This window comes from Homo sapiens, chromosome 12, assembly GCF_000001405.40.
Source record: "Homo sapiens chromosome 12, GRCh38.p14 Primary Assembly".
NCBI lineage: Eukaryota > Metazoa > Chordata > Mammalia > Primates > Hominidae > Homo > Homo sapiens.
The window spans coordinates 112,091,072-112,113,819 of record NC_000012.12 but is presented as its reverse complement, the minus strand read 5'-3'; the positions used below and the strand labels follow the sequence as shown (position 1 = coordinate 112,113,819).

Genomic DNA, 22,748 nt, shown 5'->3' with positions numbered 1-22,748 from the left:
AGCCGAGATAGCGCCACTGCAGTCCGGCCCCAGGCGAAAGAGCGAGACTCCGTCCCCCCCGCAAAAAAAAAAGAAAAACTAGAAGAATCATTGGATGGAGACACCCACATCACCATATTCAAGTAATGCAGTCCCCCTCCCTGGTATCCTTAGCTATTCAGGCACAAAGCACCCAGGTGTCTCACTGCCCTTTAGGGAAAACATTTCTTCTTCCTCTTCCTCTTCCTCTTCCTCTCCTCCTCCTCCTCCTCCTTCTCTTCTCCTTTTCCTTCTCCTCCTTCTCCTTCTCCTTCTGCTTCTTCTTCTTCTTCTTTTTTTTTGGCGGTAGGGGGACAGAGTCTTGCTCTGTGGCCCAGGCTGGAGTGCAGTGGCGTGATCTCGGCTCACTGCAACCTTTGCCTCCTGGGTTCAAGCGATTCTCCTGCCTCAGCCTCCCAAGTAGCTGGGATTAGAGGTGTGGGCCACCACACCTGGCCAATTTTTGTATTTTTTAGTAGAGATGGGTTTTTGCCATGTTGGCCAGGCTGGTCTCAAACTCCAGACGTCAAGTGATCCACCTGCCTCAGCCTCCCAAAGCGCTGAGATTACAGGTATGAGCCACCACACCCGGCCAGGGAGAATGTTTCTCACTAGAGAAAATGTTACCAAATGAAGACTGTATGCCCCTCCTCTAAGTTGAGAAAATGGAAAACACTACTTAATGAGCACCTGCTGTATACCAAGCACTTTTCCATAATGTCATCGCTAAGAGCTCCAAGTTCTGAATTGTACAGCAAGGATGGGCTTTTGGCTTCCTCAGAGGTCATCTTGTTACCCGAAAAGATTCAGGCCTGCCAAAGGGTGTGCAAGCTGCCTCCCAGCGGCAGGTAAGGACAGGCCCAGAGCCTAGCGAGTCACTGCTTCATTCTTAGGTTCTGAGGACAAGCAGTAGGAATGGGAAAAGAGAACAACCAATTAATCCTAGTTGGATGCTAAGCAGTCTTTCAGAGTGGAGGGAAATATATCCCACTAAGGATGGTGACCTAAGACTCTAGAAGCCTCTGCTAGGTAGATCCATATGATGCCCTGGTCTTGCCAAGTTCAGGGAGCTGGGTGCCAAGTCTATCAGCATTCCTCTGGGGCCAGGCCAACAAAGGTAGCGTAAGAACATGGCTGAGTAACCCGAGCCTTGGTTAGGAGCCTCATATGTGCTCCCCTTAAAGGTGCTGTATTTTTCCATTCCTGGGAAATTCTTAAATCTCAGGTGACTCATCATCTCTTTCACTTGCACCAAAGGTGAACCCCAGCTCTCCTCCCTCCTTTTCCCTGTCCTAGCCCAACCTCAGCAGGGTCACACACCATCTCTGAGTGATCCTAGGGTCAGCTTGCCTGAGGCATCTGCCCTTCATTGTTGCTGCTTAGCATGATTTGGGGGGCATGGAGTTTCCCCTAGCGCAGGGTTGCCCGATTTAGCAAATAAAAATACAGGACACCCAGTTAAATTTGAATTTAAGATAAACAGTGAATGTATGTATGTATGTCTCAAATATTTTGTTGTACTTTGCCTGATAACTTCATCCCGGGAGTCTTTGTTTGTTTGTTTTTGGAGAGTCAGGGTCTCGCTCTGTCACCCAGGCCGGAGTGCAGTAGTGCAATCATAGCTCACTACAGCCTCAAACTCCTGGGCTCAAATGATCCTTATCCAGGGAGTATTTATTTATTTATATATATTTTTGAGACAGAGTCTCCCTCTGTTGCCCAGGCTGGAGTGCAGTGTTGCAATCTCGGCTCTGCAACTTCCACCTCCTGGGCTCAAGTGATTCTTGTGCCTCAGCCCCCTGAGTAGCTGGGATTACAGGTGCGCACCACCCTGCTCAGCTAATTTTTTTTTTTTTTTTTTTTTTTTTGGAGATGGAGTCTCACTCTGTTGCAGGCTGGAGTGCAGTGGCACAATCTCGGCTCACTGCAAGCTCCGTCTCCTGGGTTCACGCCATTCTCCTGCCTCAGCCTCCCGAGTAGCTGGGACTACAAGTGCCCGCCACCACGTCTGGCTAATTTTTTTGTATTTTTAGTAAAGACAGGGTTTCACCGTGTTAGCCAGGATGGTCTCGATCTCCTGACCTCGTGATCCACCCACCTTAGCCTCCCAAAGTGCTGGGATTACAGGCGTGAGCCACTGTGCCCAGCCGCTCAGCTAATTTTTTATTTTTAGTAGAGATGGGGTTTTGCCATGTTGCCCAGGCTGGTCTCGAACTCATGTCCTCAAGTGATCCGCTCGCCTAGACCTCCTAAGTGCTAGGATTACAGGCGTGAGTCACCATTCCCGACCTCTGGAGTATTTAAATGCCTTCCTTTTTTTTTTTTTTTTTTGAGATGGAGTCTTGCTCTGTTGCCCAGGCTAGAGTGCAACAACATGATCTTGGCTCACTGCAACCTCCACCTCCCGGGTTCAAGCCTCAGCCTCGGGAGTAGCTGGGATTACAGGCACGTGCCACCACGCCTGACTAATTTTTTGTATTTTTAGTAGAGATGGGGTTTCGCCACGTTGCCCAGGCTGGTCTCAAACTCCTGACCTCAGGTGATCCACCCGCCTCGGCCTCACAAAGTGCTGAGATTACAGGCACGACCCACTGCACCCGGCCTATTTATTTATTTATGCAAGAGTCTTGCTCTGTTGCCCATGCTGGAGTGCAATGGCACGATCTTGGCTCACTGCAACCTTTGCCTACCGGGTTCAAGCGATTCTCCTGCCTCAGCCTCCTGAGTAGCCGGGGTTACAGGCTCACACTACCACACCCAGCTAATATTTGTATTTTTAGCAGAGAAGGGGTTTTATCATGTTGGCCAGGCTTGTCTTGAACCCCTGACCTCATGTGATCCACCCACTTTGGCCTGCCAAAGTGGTGGGATTACAGGGGTGAGCCACCAAGCCAGCCTTACCACACTATTTAAAATTACCTCCCTCTCTCACTGCCCCCCTTTCCTGCTTTATTTTTCTCAGTAGCATTTATCACCATGTAATAGGCTATCTACTTATTTATTGTCTGTCTCCCTCACTACAAATAAAAACTCCATTAAGTCTCTGTCTATTTTATTTATTGATGTATCCTCTGTGCCTAAAACAAGAGTGTGTCAAATAATAGGCACTCAATAACTCAGTGTTGTACGAATAAATCTATCTGTAAAAAGAGAGGTAATAATAAGATCTACCTCCCAGGGAAATACGATGACAGTTATGAAAATTAAATGAGAGAATAAATGTAAAGACCTTGCATTTAAATACTCTAGGCAGATACCGAGTAAGTATTCATCTAGGATGCTTCTTTGTTGGCTGAGTCCTGGGAGAAGGGTGTGTGGCAGGCCAGGTCTCACTAACACAGGCCTCCATAACAACTGTTTCAGTACTAACTGAGTGGTTAAGTTACATATTAAAAGCTAAAAAAAAAAAGCCAGTGCCCTTATACAAAGGATGGAATGTAACAAAAGCCCACCAAGAGTTTTGCCTAGGCCTTTCCTTGGCCTTAAAGCATGACAAAATAACGAAAGAATTCCTAACAGGACCCATTTAGGATTAAACAAATTTTATTGGGGGTCTGAAGTAACTCCCCAAACCTCCGTGATTTAGTAGGAGGCAAGATAAGGATAATCACCCCAGCACCTATTGCCATTTAGATTAAGTAAATTTACTGAGGCTTCAAAGGAAAGTCTTCAGGACTCAAACCTTAGTTATAGACTAAAGTGAGTTAATCAATTATTATTATTATTATTTTTTTTTTTTTGAGACGGAGCCTCCCTCGCCCAGGCTGGAGTGCAGTGCCGGGATCTCGGCTCACTGCAAGCTCCGCCTTCCGGGTTCACGCCATTCTCCTGCCTCAGCCTCCCTAGTAGCTGGGACTACAGGCGCCTGTCACTGCGCCCAGCTAATTTTTTGTATTTTTAGTAGAGATGGGGTTTCACCGTGGTCTCGATCTCCTGACCTCGTGATCCGCCCGCCTTGGCCTCCCAAAGTGCTGGGATTACAGGCATGAGCCACCGCGCCCGGCGAGTTAATCACTTATGTCTTTAGATGAATGCACATTTACACGTAGACATATAGCTTAGAAGGTATATAAGCTCTGGAAAGCTTTGTAATTTTAAGTTGGTCTGGTGATAATTTCCAGGCCTTCTCCCTGTAACTGGTTGCAGAAATAAAAACTCGCTTCCTCTCCAGTTCATCTGCATCTCCTTACTGAACCAGGAGAAACAGCAGCCTGACGCTCAGTTTGGTCCAGGAACAGGTGGTGGAGGGCTCTCGAACTTTTTTCTTTTTTTTTTTTTTTTTTTGAGATGGAGTCTCGCTCTGTCGCCCAGGCTGGGGTGCAGTGGCGCGATCTCGGCTTACTGCAAGCTCCGCCTCCTGGGTTCACGCCATTCTCCTGCCTCAGCCTCATGAGTAGCTGGGACTACAGGCGCCCGCCACTACGCCCCGCTAACTTTTTTTGTATTTTTAGTAGAGATGGGGTTTCACCGTGTTAGCCAGGATGGTCTCGATCTCCTGACCTTGTGATCCGCCCGCCTCGGCCTCCCAAAGTGCTGGGATTACAGGCTGAGCCACAGCGCCCGGCTCTCTCGAACTTTTTTGGCAGATTTTTGCTGTTGATCAGCCCCGCTTCCCCAACTTTCCCCTGGGTCTCTCTCCCCCGGGAGTTTCTGGTTCCTCTGCGATTAATCACAGCCAAGTCTAGCTGGTTCTTCAGGACGGAGAATAAATAGGATAAACAGGAGCAGCCGAACCCTAACTTTGAGAGCTTTCTCCCCTCCTCTCCTAACTTCCCAGTCAGTGACTCGGAAGACTTTAACAGCAACAGCTGCCTCCTCTTGCCAGCTTGATCCCACCTGCTAAGTGAAGGAACAGCGTTTAAAGAGGTGGCAATCGGCAAGGGTGGATGCTTCCCTTTCCGCGCAGGCGCGTTCAGTCGCAGCACCGCGACTATCGTGATAGACAAGCGAGATCGACGCTGGCCCTTTAATAGCCCTTTCCCGGGGTCCTGCCCCGCGCGTGCGCACTGTGGTTCTGCGCTTGTCATCATGGCGACGCGGGGCCATGTGCAGGACCCTAACGACAGGCGCCTCCGGCCCATTTACGGTGAGTGTCTTGGACCAGCCCGCTCGCCAGCCCGACGCGCCGAGGGCTGCCGAGGCTGGGGCGAAAGCCCAGGAGGGGTGCTGAGGGCCGGCGCGCGGGCCGGGCAGGCGCAGGGGGGCGGGCCGCGCGGGCCACTAGGCCGCAGCCGCGGGCCTCGCGTAGGCGCCGGCCCAACCTTCCTCAGCCTTGGGGTGGTAGTGGCGCGGTCTGGGCAGCAGCTGGTCGGCAGAGCTGGCCTGCTTGGCAGGCCCCGTGGGACGCGTGGTTCTGCAGACACCTGCGCTACCCGCAGGCTGCATCGTTACCGCCGCTCCTAGGGAGACCGGAGATCTCCCCGAAGGTGGAAGCCGGCTCCGGCACGAGGGTGGGACGCCCTGCCTGAGGGAAGATTCCCTACCAGAGATTTTTTTTTATTTACGGGAATTGGGCCTAGAGGGTTGTCTGACTAGGTGGGCTTCGGTGCATAGGAGAAACTGAGGTCCGGAGTGGGGAAGGGGCTGACGCAAGGTCACCCAGATCGAGTCAGGAGCAGGCCCGAGATTCCAGGCTCCCAATCCAGAGCTGTTGGGTGGAGAAGCAGCTACTCTGGTCACACGTGGGAGGCGGGGGGAGGGGGTCTTGGGCCTAAAATAGCGGTGAAGAGATTGTGATAGCTCGTGTCAGAGGGGCATGCAGAGCTACTGGAGGGCTTCTCCTTTCTGCAGCTTCTCTGTGGTTTTCTCTGCAGCTTTCCTTCCCTGTGCTAAGCAGATCCCTCTCCACAACTCTTACCTCAACCCGCAGACTTGAAGACCTTGATGTCATCTCATCCATTTACCCTGGTAGTGAAAAATCACAGATTTTGAGTTTGGGAGAAACCCTTTTCCAATAACCGAAATGTGTAATTGGATTGGTCCTTTTTGCATTTCCTTTCCTCTTAGATGGTTTTATGGTCTTGGTCTATCTCACTTAATGGTGAGGAAGCTTCAAGGTCAGTGGTTTTTACAAAAGTAGACATCGTATTTATAGACCTCATGTGGATGTTACTAAATTGGAGGCTTCTCTCCAAGGTGGGAATCGTTTTGGGAGCGGGGGGCGGTGGTTAACTTTGTTTCTGGCCACAGTTAGTCCGGCTTTTATTTCATAATTTGTGTGATTTTTTTTTTTACTCTCACATCTCATTTGATTTTAGCAACAATCCTATAGCTAAGGTTTATAGATGACTCATTATGACAGTCACTGGCCTTGGCCTTTTATATGGGTTATCTAATATAATCTTCACCCATTCTCAAGAGGTGGCTACTGTTTTTTCCTGCCCCTGAACCCTTTAACAACAACAACAACAAAAAAAAAAACAGATGAGGAAACTGAGGCTTTATTGTTGTTGTGTAATTTGTCTAAGGCCACTCAGTTAGTATTTCTTGGAGCTAGAATTTGAACCCCTGTGGACTGTTTCAGGCTCACCTTTTTTTTCTTTTGAGATGAGTCTCACTCTGTCGTCCAGGTTGGAGTACAGTGGCACAATCTCAGTTCACTGCACCCTCTGCCTCCCAGGTTCAAGCGATTCTCCTGCCTCAGCCTCCTGAGTAGCTGAGATTACAGTTGCACGCCACCAGGCCCAGCGAACTTCCATGTTTTTAGTAGAGACAGGAGTTTACCATGTTAGCCAGGCTGGACTTGAACTCTTGACCTACTCAGCCTCCCAAAGTGCTGGGATTATAGGTGTGAGCCACCATGCCTGGCTCCAGGCTCACCTTTTTTTTTTTTTTTTTTTTTTTTTTGGAGACAGTCTCATTCTGTCATCCAGGCTAGAGTGCAGTTGCACAATCACAGTGCACTGCAACCAGCCTCCGCCTCCTGGGTTCAAGTGATTCTCCTGCCTCAGTCTCCTGAGTAGCTGGGATTACAGGTGCCCGCCACCATGCCGGCTAATTTTTGTATATATTGTAGAGAATGGGTTTCGTCATGTTGCCCAGTCTAGTCTAAAACTCCTGAGCTCAAGCAGTCCTGCCTCAGCCTCCCAGAGTGCTGGGATTACAGGTGTGAGCCACTGTGCCTGGCCCAGGCTCACCTTCTTAACCACTGTGCTAGAAACTACCTCACTTTGAGCTGAAGACACTGATTTGCCTGAGGTCACACAGATGGTAAGTGGCAGAGAAAGGACTCTGATTTCCTATTTCCCCGGGGCTGCATATTCTCATGCCCTTGCCCTCCAGTGTATATTTTCAGAGGGCAGAGATATATATACAAGGTGGGTGATGGAAGGTGAGAACTGAATCCAGGGTTCATAGTTTGTGACTCATTACAGCTTTGTGCAGCAGCTGCCTGCAGACTTTTTTTTTTTTAAACTAAAAACACTCAATACTTTCAAGAATAATTTGATTTTTAAAATTGTTCTTGAGGACCAAAGAGAATTTCTTTGGTCCCATAGTTATTTAGAATTAATAGTGTTTTGACTGTCTAATGGGAAACACCATGTCCATTTCACATCACTAAACATCAGGATATATTAACAAGTTATATTCTCAAAACTGAAGTCAGAATTATGTAGCTTTTGTAACATGTACATGGGAAGAGGATTAGAAGAGGCTTTCTTCAGTAATTCTAAGGCGATTAGTATAAACTGGCAGGACTAGGAAAAGAACGGTACAGACTGTCCGTGAATTCAGCACTTAAGCACATTTGACTTTTGAACTCCACACTTTTGTTGTTTAAATACATTACTACCCCCAAACAACCATGGTTCCTTGAATTCAGACATTCTGACAAATGAACAAACTCATCTATGGTGGTACTTGCCCACCAGCCAAAAATTCAACAACTATCAGCATTAATTAGTGTTTACTGGTGGGCTGACTGCCCTATTAGGTAGGTAAGATTATTGTGATCAAACTGAAGCCTAGAGATTAACTTGCTCAAGGTTGTAGCTACCAAGTTGTAGAGCTGGGATTTGAACATAGACATTCTCACTGAGAGCTCAGCTCTTCACCAAGTTCAGATTCAGTAGCATCACTGTCTTTGTACAACAGTATTTGTACTGCCAAGGTTTCAGGATTTATTTTACAATTGTGTTGGAAACCTTGCTTGGGGCCTCAGCTCTTGCTGGAATTCATTGAGGGTATATGTGGACAGGGCTATGTGGTGATAAATTGTGGTGGGTTGAAATTTTACTGGTGGTGTCTAGGGTTGGAATAGCTTTTCTGTGTGCATAGATTTGAAACATCTTCCCAGTGCATCTCACATTACTAATAAGTTTGGGTATTGCATTTTTCGTTTTTGAAAACCTCCACCCATGACCTTACTGGAACCCATACTTGATTATTTGGTCTCCTTTTGCTAAAATTATTCTCTTTTGCTACGTAGTTCCCAGCAGATTTTGTACTCTTGTGTGACTTGGTAAGCCCCAGTGCCTTCTTTCGTTATTTTTTTGAGACAGGATCTGGCTCTGTCACCCAGGCTGGAGTGTCTTGGCTCACTGTAACCTCCACTTCCCAGGCTCAAGTCATCCATCCACCTCAGCCTCCTGAGTACTGGGACTGCAGGCGGGCACCACCACGCCTGGCTAATTTTTGTATTTTTTGTAGAGACAGCATTTCACCATGTTGTTCAGGCTGGTCTCGAACTCCTGAGCTCAAGCAATCTGCCTGCCTTGGCCTCCCAAAGTGCTGGGGTTACAGGCGTGAGCCACTGCGCCCTGCCCATTATTATTATTATTTTTTTAAGAAGGAGTCTTGCTCTGTCACCCAGGCTGGAATGCAGTGGCGCGATCTTGGCTCACTGCAACCTCTGCCTCCTGGGTTCAAACAGTTCTCTGCCTCAGCCTCCTGAGTAGCTGGGTTACAGGCATGCACCACCATGCCCGGCTAATTTTTGTTTTTGTTTTTGTTTTGTTTTTTTTTTTGAGATGGAGTCTCACTCTGTCCTGCAGGCTGGGGTGCAGTGGCGTGATCTCCGCTCACTGCAAGCTCCACCTTCCGGGTTCACGCCATTCTCCTGCCTCAGCCTCCAGAGCAGCTGGGAATACAGGCGCCCGCCACCACGCCAGGTTAATTTTTTGTATTTTTAGTAGAGACAGGATTTCACCACATTGGCCAGGTTGGTCTTGAACTTCTGATCATGTGGTCCACTTGCCTCAGCCTCCCAAAGTGCTGGGATTACAGGCGTGAGCCACTGCACCTGGCCCCATTATTCTTAATTTTAAAACATTTTCAGTGGTTATGGATTAGGGAAGGGAAGGGATGGAGGGAGATAATAAATATTTGACTCTGTTTTGTTATGCAGCCTCCTCTACCCCATACTTTTATTTATTTATTTTTCTTTCTTTTTTTTCTTTTTTGTTTTTAATTTCACGCTCATATTTTTAGATAATTGGAAGTGGAATTGATGGTCAGGTATGGCACTTAATAAATTTGTATAGAATATGGGAATTGCTAGGTCAGCAAATTGCATAATAGAAATAGAGAAAGTTCAAAGTAGAAAAAATGTGTGCATAGTCTTTAGAATATACACACATACACAGGCATGAGATCCCTTGTTTTAATATGTCGTACTGACCTGCAGTCTTGGATTAGCCTGGATCAGGTGTAAGATATTTTCCAGTGTGTCTCCCGGGTGACAGTCACTTCTTTGCTGAGTTAGGACATTTCTCTTGGGTGCCTGGCTCAGGTAATTATTCCACTATAGTTCATAGTTTAGGAGTTCCTGACCCCAGGATGGTGTGTGATACTGGTCTGTGGCCTGTTAGGAAATGGGCCGCACAGTAGGAGGTGAGCAGCAGGGTGTTGTGGGGGAGAGCATTACTGCCTGAGCCCCGCCTCCTGTCAGATCAGCTCTTAGGAGTAGGAACACAAACCCTGTTGTGAACTATGCATGTGAGGAATCGAGGTTGGCGCTCCTTATGAGACTCTAACTAATGCCTGATATCTGAGGTGGAATAGTTTTATCCCGAAACCATCCCTCCCTGCCATCTGTGGAAAAATTGTCTTTCATGAAATCGGTCCCTAGTGCCAAAAAGGTTGGGGACCACTGCTCTAGTTCATAAATGAAAACTTGCAGGTCCTCAATCAAAAGTGGTATTTATTCTGACCTCCTCTTGGACAGTGTGGTAGCTTTGTGAGTCTGGTCCTATTTTGCCTCAGAAGTGACAGGGTACCTTGGTGAGTGAAGACTATCTTGCGTTTCTGTAGAAAAGTCACTTGGCACAACCTATTTTTTTCCATTCTGAAAATATGACCATTTAAAAAGCCCTGACTTACTAGAACTTCTCTCAATGAATCTAGAACTTCCATCACCATTGGATGGCTGAGACCACCTCTGCCATACCAAAACCTTGCTCATAACCAAAACAGTCCCTGTTGGTCTTTTGCCCTGGACCTGTGACATTCTGGACTATTTTTGTGTTCAGTTTTGGCCAAGTGTTAACAAGCATACAAAGCTGGGCACAGTGGTTTGGCTGGGTGAGGTGGCTCATGCTTGTAATCCCAGCACTTTGGGAGGCCGAGGTGGGTGGGTTGCTTGAGGCCAGGAGTTCGAGACTAGCCTGGCCAAAATGGCAAAACCCCATCTCTACTAAAAATACAAAAATTAGCCAGGTGTGGTGGCAGGCGCCTGTAACCCCAGCTACTCAGGAGGCTGAGGCAGAAGAATCACTTGAACCCGGGAGGCGGAGGCTGCAGTGAGCTGAGATTGTGCTACTGTACTCCAGCCTGGGGGACAGAGCGAGACTTCATCTCAAAAAAATAAAAAATAGGGCTGAGTGCAGTGGCTCACGCCTGTAATCCTAACACTTTGGGAAGCCGAGGCCGGCGGATCATGAGGTCAAGAGTTTGAGACGAGTCTCACCGACATAGTGAAACTCCGTCTCTACTAAAAATATACGAAAAATTAGCCGGGTGTGGTAGTGTGCATCTGTAATCCCAGCTATTCAGAAGGCTGAGGCAAGAGAATCGCGTGAACCCAGGAGGCGGAGGTTGCAGTGAGCCGAGATCGCGCTATTGCACTCCAGCCTGGGCTCCAGTGCGAGACTCCATTGCGGGGGGCGGGGGGGCAGCTAGTGTGATGGTGCATGCTTGAACCCAGGAACTTCAAGCTGCAGTGAGCTGAGATTGTGCCACTGTACTCCAGCCTGGGCAACAGAGCAAGATTCTATGTCAAAACAAATAAACAAAAAACTATTCTGCTGTCTTAGCTGAATAATTCAAACAAACAACAACAACAAAAAACCCTGACCTAGACTTTTAAACTGAAAATGAAGGTTTTAGTGCACAAAAATATTCTTAGATGAATACATAGATTAGAGGGTAGTTGTTGAAACATAGGGCAAGATGAAGAGATTAGTACATTTCTTTTTTTTTTTCTGTTTTTGGAGACAAGGTCTTGCTGTGTTGTCCAGGCTGCAGTGCAGTGATGTGAACATGGCTCACTGCAGCTTCGACCTCCTGAGCTCAAGTGATCCTCCCGCCTCAGCCTCTGGAGTAGCTGGCACTGCAGGCACATGCCACCATGCCTGGCTAGTTTTTTAAATTTTTATTTTATTTTATTTTTTTGAGATGGAGTTTCACTCTTGTCGCCCAGGCTGGAGTGCAATGGTGCGATCTCAGCTTGCTGCAACCTCCGCCTCCTGGGTGGATCACTTGAGTCCAGGAGTTTCAGACCAGCCTGGCCAACGTGGTGAAAACCCATCTCTACTAAAAATACAAAAAAATTAGCTGGGCATGGTGATGCACGCCTGTAATCCTAGCTACTCGGGAGGCTGAGGCAGGAGAATAGCTTGAACCCAGGAGGTGGAGGATGCAGTGAGCCGGGATTGCACCACTGTACTGCAGCCTGGGTGACAAAGCTAGACTCTGTCTCAAAAAAAAAAAAAAAAGTTGAAAAGATTTGGAAAAAATTTAATAGCTGGTAGCCATCACTAATCACTGGTTCTTTGAACTTCCTGTTGTGATCACTTTGTATTATCTTTTTTTTTTGATAGATTTTTTAAGATGCAGTCTCACTCTGTCACCTGGGCTGGAGTGCAATGGCGTGATCTCCACTCGCTGCAACCTCCGCCTCCTGGATTCAAGTGATTCTCCTGCCTCAGCCTCCCAAGTAGCTGGGATTACAAGCACCTGCCACCACACCTGGCTAATTTTTGTATTGTTAGTAGAGATGGGATTTCACCATGTTGGTCAGGCAGGTCTTGAACTCCTGACCTCAAGCAATCCACCTTCCTCGGCCTCCCAAACTGTTGGGATTACAGGCATGAGCCACCGCACCCGGCCTGTATTATCTTATATATATATCTTTCATTTTTCTAGCAGACTGCCCTTTTTTCCCCCATACAATTTGTTCATTTATGCATTCCTTCATTCAACATTTATTGAGGGCCTGATATGTGTTAGGCACAATATAGATGCAGGAAATGAGTACTAAACAGCACAGACATAGTTTCTGCTTTCAAGGAGCTTATCTCCTTGAAATGACAGTACACATCACCATTACAGTTATGTTAAGGGATTTGAAGGAATAGGACAGTTTGCCATGAGAGCATACAATAGGGGCATTTGGACTGTTGGGGTCAGGTCAAGAAAAGGTTTCCTGTGGAAATGATGTTTTACTTTGGACATGAAAAGAGAACCAGGGTTAGGCAAAGAGATGGGGAGAGGGTGGTGAAGACCCTGAGAAAAGGAGCTTGGTCCACTTGAGGATGTAAGCAAAGGCTTGTGCAGTTGGAATGAAGAAATGAGTGAGGAAGTGAGATGAGGCTGGGGTGGGCAGCGACTCAGCTTTGTAATCCATTTTAAGGATATTGAAATTTGTTTTAAAGACAGTGGAATCAGGCCGGGTGTGGTGGCTCACGCCTGTAATCCCAGCACTTTGGGAGGCCAAGGCAGGTGGATGACGAGGTCAGGAGATCGAGACTATCCTGGTAACACGGTGAAACCCCGTCTCCACTAAAAATACAAAAAATTCTCCGGGCGTGATGGCGGGCGCCTGTAGTCCCAGCTACTCCGGAGGCTGAGGTAGGAGAATGGCGTGAGCCCGGGAGGCGGAGCATGCAGCGAGCCAAGATCGAGCCACTGCACTCCAGCCTGGGCAACAGAGCAAGACTCCATCTCAAAAAAAAAAAAAAAAAAAAAAAGACAATGGAATCAATACCTGTGAAAAGAAAGAAAAGGACAGTGGATGACATTAAAAGGATTTAACCAGAGGAGTAGAGTGATAAGGTGTGCATGTAAAAAAGATAGCTCTGAATACTGTGTGGGAAATAAACCTTTAAACTAAAAGGGAAGCAAGGCCAGGTGTGGTGGCTCACGCCTGTAATCCCAGCACTTTGGGAGGCTGAGGCAGGAGGATCACGAGGTCAGGAGATCGAGACCATCCTGGCCAACATGGTGAAACCCTGTCTCTACTAAAATACAAAAAAATTAGCCAGGCCTGGTGGTACGAGCCTGTAGTCCCAGCTGCTCAGGAGGCTGAGGCAGGAGAATCACTTGAACCTGGGAGGCAGAGGTTGCAGTGAGCCGAGATCGTGCCACTGCACTCCAGCCTGGTGACAGAGCAAGACTCTGTCATAAATAAATAGGAGGCAAATGTAGAATGGGTCGGTCAGTTAGGAGGCATTATTCATTTTTAGGTTCATCCTTGTCCCTTGCAATCTTGCACATGGTAGGTATTTAACAAAGGCTTGCTGAGTGAAGGAATGTGTCTTCTGTAATTTGTATTCATGGTAAAAGCAAGGCTCCTATTCTCCAACTTTTAGAATTTTTAAGTAAAGGATATTGTGTTTAAAGATGGAGCTCTCTTCTATTTAGCGTTTTTATAAGTTGTGGCAATATCTTTAATAGTCTCTGAAATTCTTGTAGGAAGTGGAAACTGAGCATACTATTTCAGCTGCTAAGGAGACCATTCATGGCAGCTGCAAGAACATGCAGATGAAAAACTTTCCTTTTTATTTGCAAAATTGATACTTTTCCTACTGTCAGTATCCATCCCTCAGTAAGATTGGATGAACAAATCCCAGGACCTCTTCTCCAGGGCATGTGGACAGCAGGCCTGCATGTGTCCAGGCCTGCTGCTGCCTGCATCTCCAAGGACTAGTAGCTTCTTTGGGAAGTGTTACCTCAGGAGTGCAGCTTGTGCGTTCATTCAACAAATTTTGATAGTGTCTTGCCAATGATTTATCCCAGTTCTTCCCAAATTTCTATCGTTCTTTTACCTAATCTCATTATTTTAGCTGCATTATAGTATTATCTGTGCTATCAGTTAATATTTTTCTCCAAGGTGACTTTTAAAATTAAATTTATTTTATAATTATATTATTGCTATGAGTGGAAAACTTGTATCACTTGCTGTAGGAAAATAAAACTGTAAAAGTAAAGTACAATGAAAACTAAACAATGTTATTAACCAGATTCTGATACTTGTGAAACTTCAGGACCTATTCCTTCCTTCTGGAAAAAAAAAAAGGCCGAGTGCGACAGCTCATGCCTATAATCCCAGCACTTTGGGAGACCGAGGCAGACGGATCACGAGGTCAAGAGATTGAGACCATCCTGGCCAACATGGTGAAACCCCGTCTCTACTAAAAGTACAAAAAAAATTAGCTGGGTGTGGTGGTGCGCACCTGTAGTCCCAGCTACTCAGGAGGCTGAGGCAGGAGAATTGCTTTAATCTAGGAGGTGGAGGTTGCAGTGAATCGAGATCATGCCACTGCACTCCAGCCTGGCGACAGAGTGAGACTCTGTCTCCAAAAAAAAAAAAAGATACTAGCAATTTTTAGAGAAATAGTAGGCTAGCACCAAACTGACACTTTCTCCTTAATGTAAAGGAAGTATTAGAAAAGAGATTAGGGCCAGGCGTGGTGGCTCACGCCTGTAATCTTAGCACAATCCCAGTTGAACCTTGGAGGCGGAGGTTGCAGTGAGCTGGGATCGCGCAACTGCACTCTAGCCTGGGCAACAGAGCGAGTCTCAAAAAAAAGAAAGAAAGAGATTGACTTTTTCACTGTGAGTATTATCTAGGGCTGTCTGCAAGGACTAAAAACATTTCATTTGGAATGGCACTCACCCGTGCTTTGGAAAATACTGCTTTAACCAATACATCTTATTGTTTCCATTGCCTGATCTGTGGATGGCTGATTTTGGCTGACTCCTGTTATTAAGGGAACAGCACCATTCCTCATGGCCAAACTACAATTCCCCTTGAGTAGCTTTTTAAAAAGACTTACTAAGAAGACAGATTTAGGATATCGTTTTTATTGGCTTGTTTTCTCCAAGGACTACTTAACTTATATTACAGATTTAGTAATGTAAAATGAAAATAAACTTTCCCAAGAGACTTAGCAGCTAATTAATCACACTCTCCTAGGTCCAGGAAATGGGAGCCTGATACCTGGCTGAATGTGGTAAAGTGTTTTAAACTCTTTCAGGTGAAGAAACAATCTCTTTGATACCAGCGCAAGTAAAGACGGTTACTGTAAATCCTTGTGGGAGCCAAGGCAAGAGTGTAGTGCCCCAGGACCTGATGGAAATGAGAAAGTTGTCAGGACCTGAAGCTTCTTTTTCAGTTGCTCATCTCTGCTTTTCTCTGTGTCTATTCATTTCTCTGCTTGGTTTTTTTTTTTTTTTTTTTTTTGAGATGGAGTCTTGCTCTGTTGCCAGGCTGGAGTGCAGTGGCACAATCTCAGCTCATTGCAACCTCCGCCTCCCGGGTTCAAGTGATTCTTAGGCCTCAGCCTCCCAAGTAGCTGGGATTACAGGCGTGCGCCACCAAGCCCAGCTAATTTTTGTACTTTTTTTGGTAGAGACGGGGTTTCACCGTGTTGGCCAGGCTGGTCTTGAACTCCTGACCTCAAGGGATCTGTCTGCCTCTGCCTCCCAAAGTGCTGGAATTACAGGCATGAGCCGCCGGGTCTGCTCGGTTCTTCATAATGTTTTTTCCTGCTTACTCATCAACTTACCCAGAACCCAACATGTTGACTTTTGTAGCCACACCAAGCTGTGGCTGGAGAAGGGAGGGTTCATTAGCCTCACCCGTAAGCTTAATTTCTCTAGATTTTCCAATAAAGGTAATTGACATTTTTCATTTTTATATAAATGCTGTGTGAATAAAGAGTCAAGAGACAACTCTTTTTTTTTTTTTTTTTTTGAGACGGAGTCTCGCTCTGTCTCCCAGGCTGGAGTGCAGTGGCGCAATCTTGGCTTACTGAAACCTCCGCCTCCAGGGTTCACGCCATTCTCCTACCTCAGCCTCCCGAGTAGCTGGGACTACAGGCGCCCGCCACCACGCCCGGCTAATTTTTTGTATTTTTAGTAGAGATGGGCTTTCACCGTGTTAGCCAGGATGGTCTCGATCTCCTGACCTCATGATCCACCCGCCTCAGCTTCCCAAAGTGCTGGGATTACAGCCGTGAGCCACCACGCCTGGCCGAGACAACTCTTTTTCTTTGCTGCACATCAATCAACTTGCATCCCCGAAAGTGCCTTCAAAATAGAAATTCTGGAGCTGCCACTGGTAAACTCAGACTTAAAATTTTTAAGATTTTCCACCTGAGGTTCCTTGTAACTTACTGACTCTGGCTTTCAGTTTTATAGTTAGAGAGTACCAGGAAGAAACCTGATTTACCCAGCTTGGATCAAATGTCCAACCTGGGGTGGGCTGCAGTTACATGGTCTAGACATGGTCATCTAGTCCTACCCCTTCAGCAGGGGCACTGGAAACCATTTCCAGACAAGAGGGCATGGGCAAGTAGGTACATTATATCAGAACCTCGTCAACTACAGAGGGGAAGGGAAAAATACCCTTATAGTCCTAACCTCTGGTCTGATCCATTTATGGGCAGACCTTCAGAGATGGGTCTCATCAAAGATGTTTACCCTTTGAGAAGGCTTCAAGATAGGTTCTATGAACCTGGAACCTTGCAGGACCACTGAGTCAGCAATGACTTAGAACTGACTCAGAATGAGATCAGCATCAAGTTATGAGGAAGAGAGGGTGTCGTTTATTGAGCTGGTTTATCTTTGTCAGATAGTTTATAAGGACAAATGATGGCCTGTCAGTTCAGCTAAGGATTTAAGAAAACTGGTATTAGATGTTTAGGTATTTAGGCCAAGATTATGTGCTTTTAGATATCTGTGATTCTCCAATGCCTCTCCAGAATATTAGGTCTTTGGCCTTCCTCTCTAAATTGTGATTTCCTACAGAGTAAGGCTTCTTATCTTTTTACCTAGCATTATTGGTGCTCATCAATATTAAGTGCATTAAGTGCATTGAACTCATGCATTCATGAGACTAAGTTTTAGTTAAGTGTTAATTGCAGAAAAATTTAGTATAGTAAAATGAAAGTTTATTTCTGTTCTGTGGGACACTCTGAGCCACCAGGGTCATAGATTATTTTAAGTTGTCTGTGCCTTTGCTGATAGGGAACTTTGATGAGCAAAGAGGAACCTGGTAGTGGTAGAGGATTGTGAACTGGCCTGTGTTCAGTCATCATTGTATATTTAGAATTGACAGCTACTGTACTGTTTTCCCATTTATAACACTTCTCATTTTTCTTCTCTAGAAATGAATCTTTGCTTTTGTTAGACTTTTTAAAAGAATTAATAGACTGTTTTTAGAGCATAAAACTGCTTTATGGTTTACAGAAAAATGAGTAGAAAGTACAGAGTTCCCAAATACTCCCTCTCCCCATCCCCATGGTTTCCCTTATTATTAACAACTTGGATTCATATACGTTTGTTACCATTGCTGAGCCAACATGATACATAATTGTTAATTAAAATCCGTAAATAGTTTAGGCTTCATTCTTTGTGTTGTGTATTCTCTGGGTTTGACAAATGTATGAAGACCTATATCCACCATTACAGTATTATATAGAATGTTTCAGTGCCCTAAAAATCCCCTGTGCTCCACCTATCCATCCCAACCTCCATCCTCTGTCAACCACTGATGATTTTACTATCTGTATAGTTTTTCACCTTTTCCAGAATGCCATGTAGGAGTTATATAGTATATAGCCTTTTCAGATTGGGTTTTTTTCCCTTAGCAATATGAATATAAGGCTTCCTCCATGTCTTTTTTTTTCTTTCTCTCTGTCTTTTGTGCTTGATAGTTCATTTCTTGTTTTTTTTTTTTTGTTTGTTTGTTTTTGTTTTTTTTTTGAGACAAGGTCTTGCTCTGCCACCCAGGCTGGAGTGCAGTAGTGCAATCATAGCTCACTGCAGCCTCTACCTCCCAAGCTCAAGCAGACCTCCCAAGTAGCTGGGACTATAGGCATGCGCCACCGTACCTGACAAATTTTTTTAATTCTTTTTTTTTTTAGACGGAGTCTCACTCTGTCACTCAGGCTGGAGTGCAGTGGCGCGATCTCAGCTCACTGCAAGCCCCACCTCCTGGGTTCACGCCATTCTCCTGCCTCAGCCTCACGAGTAGCTGGGACTACAGGCACCCGCCACCATGCCCGGCTAATTTTTTGTATTTTTAGTAGAGATGGGGTTTCACCGTGTTAGCCAGGATGGTCTCAATCTCCTGACCTCGTGATCCGCCCGCCTCGGCCTCCCAAAGTGCTGGGATTACAGGTGTGAACCACCGCGCCTGGCCAAATTTTTAAATTTTTTCTAGAGATGGTGTCTTGCTGTGTTGCCTGGGCTGGTCTTGTACTTCTGGCCTCAAGTTATCCTCCCGCTTCAGCCTTCCTAAGTGCTGGGATTGCAGGCATGAGCCACCACACTCAGCCTAACACAATTTTATGGTGGGTCTCCATATTCCTTAAAACTTGAAATGTATCAGCTGGGCATGGTGGCACACTCCTTTCACACATGTACTCCCTTCACTTTGGGAGGCTGAGGCGGGCAGATCACTTGAGGTCAGGAGTTCGAGACTAGCCTGGCCAACATAGTGAAACCTCATCTCTAGTAAAAATACCAAATTTAGCTGGGCATGGTGGTGCACACCTGTAATCCCAGCTACTCGGGAGGCTGAGGCAGGAGAATTGCTTGAACTCAGGAGGCAGAGGTTGCAGTGAGTCAAGATTGTGCCATTGCACTCCAACTTGGGCGACTGAGCAAGACCCTGTCTCACACACACACAAAAAAGTACTATTTTCCCTACATCCTTGCCTACTCCTGCTATTATTGAAATTCATTCCCTACCTCCCAATCTTATGGGTAAAACTTTCTCTTATTTTTTTCTTCAGCAAATTAGACTTAACTCTGTGGCAAAGTCAGTACTCATTAAATATATTTCATTGAAGGAACATAGTCCACTTGGTAGATTTGAGGCCTGAATACTAGAAAGGTTTCTTTTTTGGTTTTTATTTTAATTTTTAAAAGATTTTAAGATTTTGGTGACTAAACTCATTACTTATCCATGGATAAAAATATTAATGTCATCTCATCTAAATATGTATAGTCTTGAATCTTCACTAAGGACTACATAGTGTGATTATATTACTTGTAGATGAGAGATGACTATAGGGACGTAAGTTTGTATTCTTTTTTTTTTTTTTTTTTTTTTGAGACAGAGTCTCCCTCTGTCGCCTAGGCTGGAGTGCAGTGGCGCCATCTTGGCTCACTGTAAGCTCCGCCTCCTGGGTTCACGCCATTCTCCTGTCTCAGCCTCCCCAGTAGCTGGGACTGCAGGAGCCCACCACCACGCCTGGCTAATTTTTTGTATTTTTTAGTAGAGACAGGTTTTCCACCATGTTAGCCAGGATGGTCTCGATCTCCTGACTTCGTGATCCACCCACCTCAGCCTCCCAAAGTGCTGGGATAAGTTTGTATTCTTGACCGTCCTAGCCATTTATAGTTAAAATTAGATCCATAATGTTTTTATTTGTTGAAAAAAATTTTTAAATTAAAAAAAAAAGTTTTTTTGAATCAGGGTCTCACTCAGTTGCCCAAACTGGAGTGCAGTGGCACGACCGTGGCTCACACTGTAGCCTCAACTTCCCAGGCTCAAATGATCACCCCACCTCAGCCTCCTGAGTAGCTGGGATTACAGGTGCATGGCAACATGCCTGGCTAATTTTTATATTTCTTCTAGAGACAGGGTCTCACTAAGTTGTCAGAGCTGGTCTCGAATTCCTGGGCTCAAGTGATTCACCCACCTTGGCCTCCCAAAGTACTGGGATTACAGGTGTGAGCCACTGGACTGTGCCCATGATGTTTTTATTATTTTGTTTTATTATTATTATTTTGTGTTATTACTTTTTTCTGAGGCAGGGTGTCACTGTTTTGCCCAGGCTGGAGTGCAGTGGCATGATCTCAGGTCACTGCAACCTCTGCCTCCCAGGTTCAAGCGATTCTCGTGCCTCAGCCTCCCGAGTACCTGGGGCTACAGGTGTGCATCACCACTGCCTGGCTAATTTTTGTAGTTTTAGTAGAGTTGGGGTTTATCCATGTTGCCCAGGCTGGTCTCGAACTCCTGGCCTCAAGTGATCCATCTGCCTCGGGCTCCCAGAGTGCTGGGATTACAGGTGTAAGCCACCACGCCCGGCCTCCATGATGTTTTATATAGCAAATTAAGATATTTTCCAAAATATCTCATACCAGTTGGTGCATTTTTTATATTTGTTATTGAAGGAATATAATAACTGTCACATAATTTGTTTTTTCATAGATTATCTTGACAATGGTAATAATAAAATGGCAATTCAGCAAGCAGATAAACTGTTGAAGAAACATAAGGATCTTCATTGTGCTAAGGTAACTTCATTTGCCCTTCAGTTACTTACCTGTGGCGGGTTATATTTGTAATTCCTTACCTTAAAGAGAAAGGAGGGCCGGGCATGGTGGCTCAAGCCTGTAATCCCAGTACTTTGGGAGGCCGAGGCAAGCGGATCACGATGTCAGGAGTTTGAGACCAGCCTGACCAACATGGTGAAACCCTGTCTCTACTAAAAATACAAAAATTAGCCTGGCATGGTGGCGTGCGCCTGTAATCCCAGCTACTCAGTAGGCTGAGGCAGCAGAATCACTTGAACCCAGGAGGTGGAGGTTGCAGTGAGCGGAGATCGCACCATTGCACTCTAGCCCAGGTGACAGAGTGAGACTCCGTCTCAAAAAAAAAAAAAGGGGGGGGAGAAAGGATGTTAAATCTCTTTAGTGACTATTAGTGTCTTTTGTTTTTGAGATGGAGTTTCACTCTTGTTGCCCAGGCTGGAGTGCAGTGGCTTGATCTCAGGTACTGCAACCTCTGCCTCCCAGATTCAAGTGATTCTCCTGCTTTAGCCTCCTGCGTAGTTGAGATTACAGGCATGCGCCACCACACCCAGCTAATTTTGTATATTTTTTAGTAGAGATGGGGTTTCCCCATGTTGGTCGGGCTGGTCTCAAACTCCCGACCTCAGGTGATCCTCCTGCCTCAGCCTCCCAGAGTGCTGGGGTTACAGGCATGAGCTACTGCGCCCAACTGACTATTTGTGTTTTTTTCTCGGTACTTTATAGGTCAGTTATTTCCATAGTCACTTACATGCCACAAGTGGTATTTCTTTTTTCGTTTTTTTTTTCTTTTTTGAGATGGAGTCTTGCTGTGTTGCCCAGGCTAGAGTGCAGTGGCACGATATTGGCTCACTGCAACCTCTGCCTCCTGGGTTCAAGCAATTCTCCTGCCTCAGCCTCCTGAGTAGCTGGGACTACAGGCGCGTCCTACCACGCCCGGCTAATTTTTTTGTATTTTTAGTAGAGACGGGGTTTCACCGTGTTAGCCAGGATGGTCTCAATCTCCTGACCTCCTGATCCGCCTGCCTTGGCCTCCCAAAGTGCTGGGATTATAGGCGTGAGCCACTGTGCCTGGCTGTGATATTTCAGTAAAAGCTAGCTGTTTATTTCTTTGCATATTACTTACCTAATTTATTTTCACAGAATCCTTTTAAGCAATATTGTGCACTTCTTTTTTTGAGACAAGGTCTCTATCACCCAGCCTGGAGTGCAATAGCACAATCATGACTCACTACAGCCTTGGCCTTCTAGGCTCAAATGATCCTCTCATCTCAGCCTCCTGCATAGCTGGGACTACAGGGTGTACCACCATGCCTGGCTTTTTTTTTTTTTGGAGATAAGGTCTCTCTCACCCTGTTGCCTAGGCTGGACTGCAGTTGCCTAGGCATGATCACAGCTCACTGCAGCTTTGACCCCCCGGACTCAAGCGATCCTCCTACCTCAGCCTCTCGAGTAGCTGGGACCACAGATGTGCACCACCACACCTGGCTAATATTTAAACTTTTTGTAAAAATGGGATCTCACCACGTTGCCTACCTAGGCTAGTCTTGAATTTGTGGGCTCAAGCAATCCTCCCGCCTCGGCCTTCCAAAGTGCTGGGGTTACATTCGTGAGCCATTGCACCTGGCCTATTTTTTTCCTTCAAATTTTTTCTAGAGATGAGGTCTCACTGTGTTGCCTAGGCTGGTCTCAAAGTTCTGGGCTCAAGTGATCCTCCTGCCTTAGTCTCCCAAAGTGTTATACGCATGAGTGCACCATGCCAGTCCTATTGTTCACTTTTTTTTTTTTTTTCGAGACAGGATCTCCTTCTGTCACCCACGCTGGAGTGCTGTGACGTGATCAACCTCCCGGGCTCGAGGAGTCCTCCCATCTCAACCTGTCAAGTAGCTGGGTGCACACCACCATACCCAGCTAATTTTTTATTATTTTTTGTAGAGATGGAGTCTCACCACGTTGCCCAGGCT

General features: G+C 46.1%; 1 protein-coding gene across 5 annotated transcripts in view, besides 4 other annotated features; it reads left to right on the top strand.

Moving 5' to 3' along the window:
• Positions 5,037 to 22,748, top strand: part of NAA25 (N-alpha-acetyltransferase 25, NatB auxiliary subunit) — an 82,095-nt gene continuing 64,383 nt past the window's right edge. For 4 of the 5 annotated variants that reach the window (XR_944730.4, XR_243023.5, XR_944731.4 and 1 more), the window contains exons 1-2: positions 5,037 to 5,104; positions 20,684 to 20,769. Coding sequence is in view for 2 of the 5 variants with exons in the window: in NM_024953.4 (NP_079229.2) it covers positions 5,047 to 5,104; positions 20,684 to 20,769 (144 nt within the window). In the remaining 3 variants the exon portion in view is untranslated. Of the gene's footprint in view, positions 5,105 to 16,449; positions 16,580 to 20,683; positions 20,770 to 22,748 lie in introns of those variants that run through there. The other variant, XM_006719606.3, reaches the window with a different exon arrangement.
• Positions 5,088 to 5,167: a silencer, noted in NCBI's record as "silent region_4881". NCBI's record gives its function as "represses an Ori minimal core promoter by ATAC-STARR-seq in GM12878 lymphoblastoid cells {active_cell/tissue: GM12878}" and the evidence as "EXISTENCE:reporter gene assay evidence [ECO:0000049][PMID:35858748]".
• Positions 5,188 to 5,267: a silencer, noted in NCBI's record as "silent region_4880". NCBI's record gives its function as "represses an Ori minimal core promoter by ATAC-STARR-seq in GM12878 lymphoblastoid cells {active_cell/tissue: GM12878}" and the evidence as "EXISTENCE:reporter gene assay evidence [ECO:0000049][PMID:35858748]".
• Positions 6,868 to 7,369: an enhancer, noted in NCBI's record as "H3K4me1 hESC enhancer chr12:112544255-112544756 (GRCh37/hg19 assembly coordinates)". NCBI's record gives its function as "activates a minimal SCP1, AML or CMV promoter by ChIP-STARR-seq in primed H9 embryonic stem cells {active_cell/tissue: H9 hESC(primed)}" and the evidence as "EXISTENCE:reporter gene assay evidence [ECO:0000049][PMID:30033119]".
• Positions 10,688 to 11,188: an enhancer, noted in NCBI's record as "H3K4me1 hESC enhancer chr12:112540436-112540936 (GRCh37/hg19 assembly coordinates)". NCBI's record gives its function as "activates a minimal SCP1, AML or CMV promoter by ChIP-STARR-seq in naive H9 embryonic stem cells {active_cell/tissue: H9 hESC(naive)}" and the evidence as "EXISTENCE:reporter gene assay evidence [ECO:0000049][PMID:30033119]".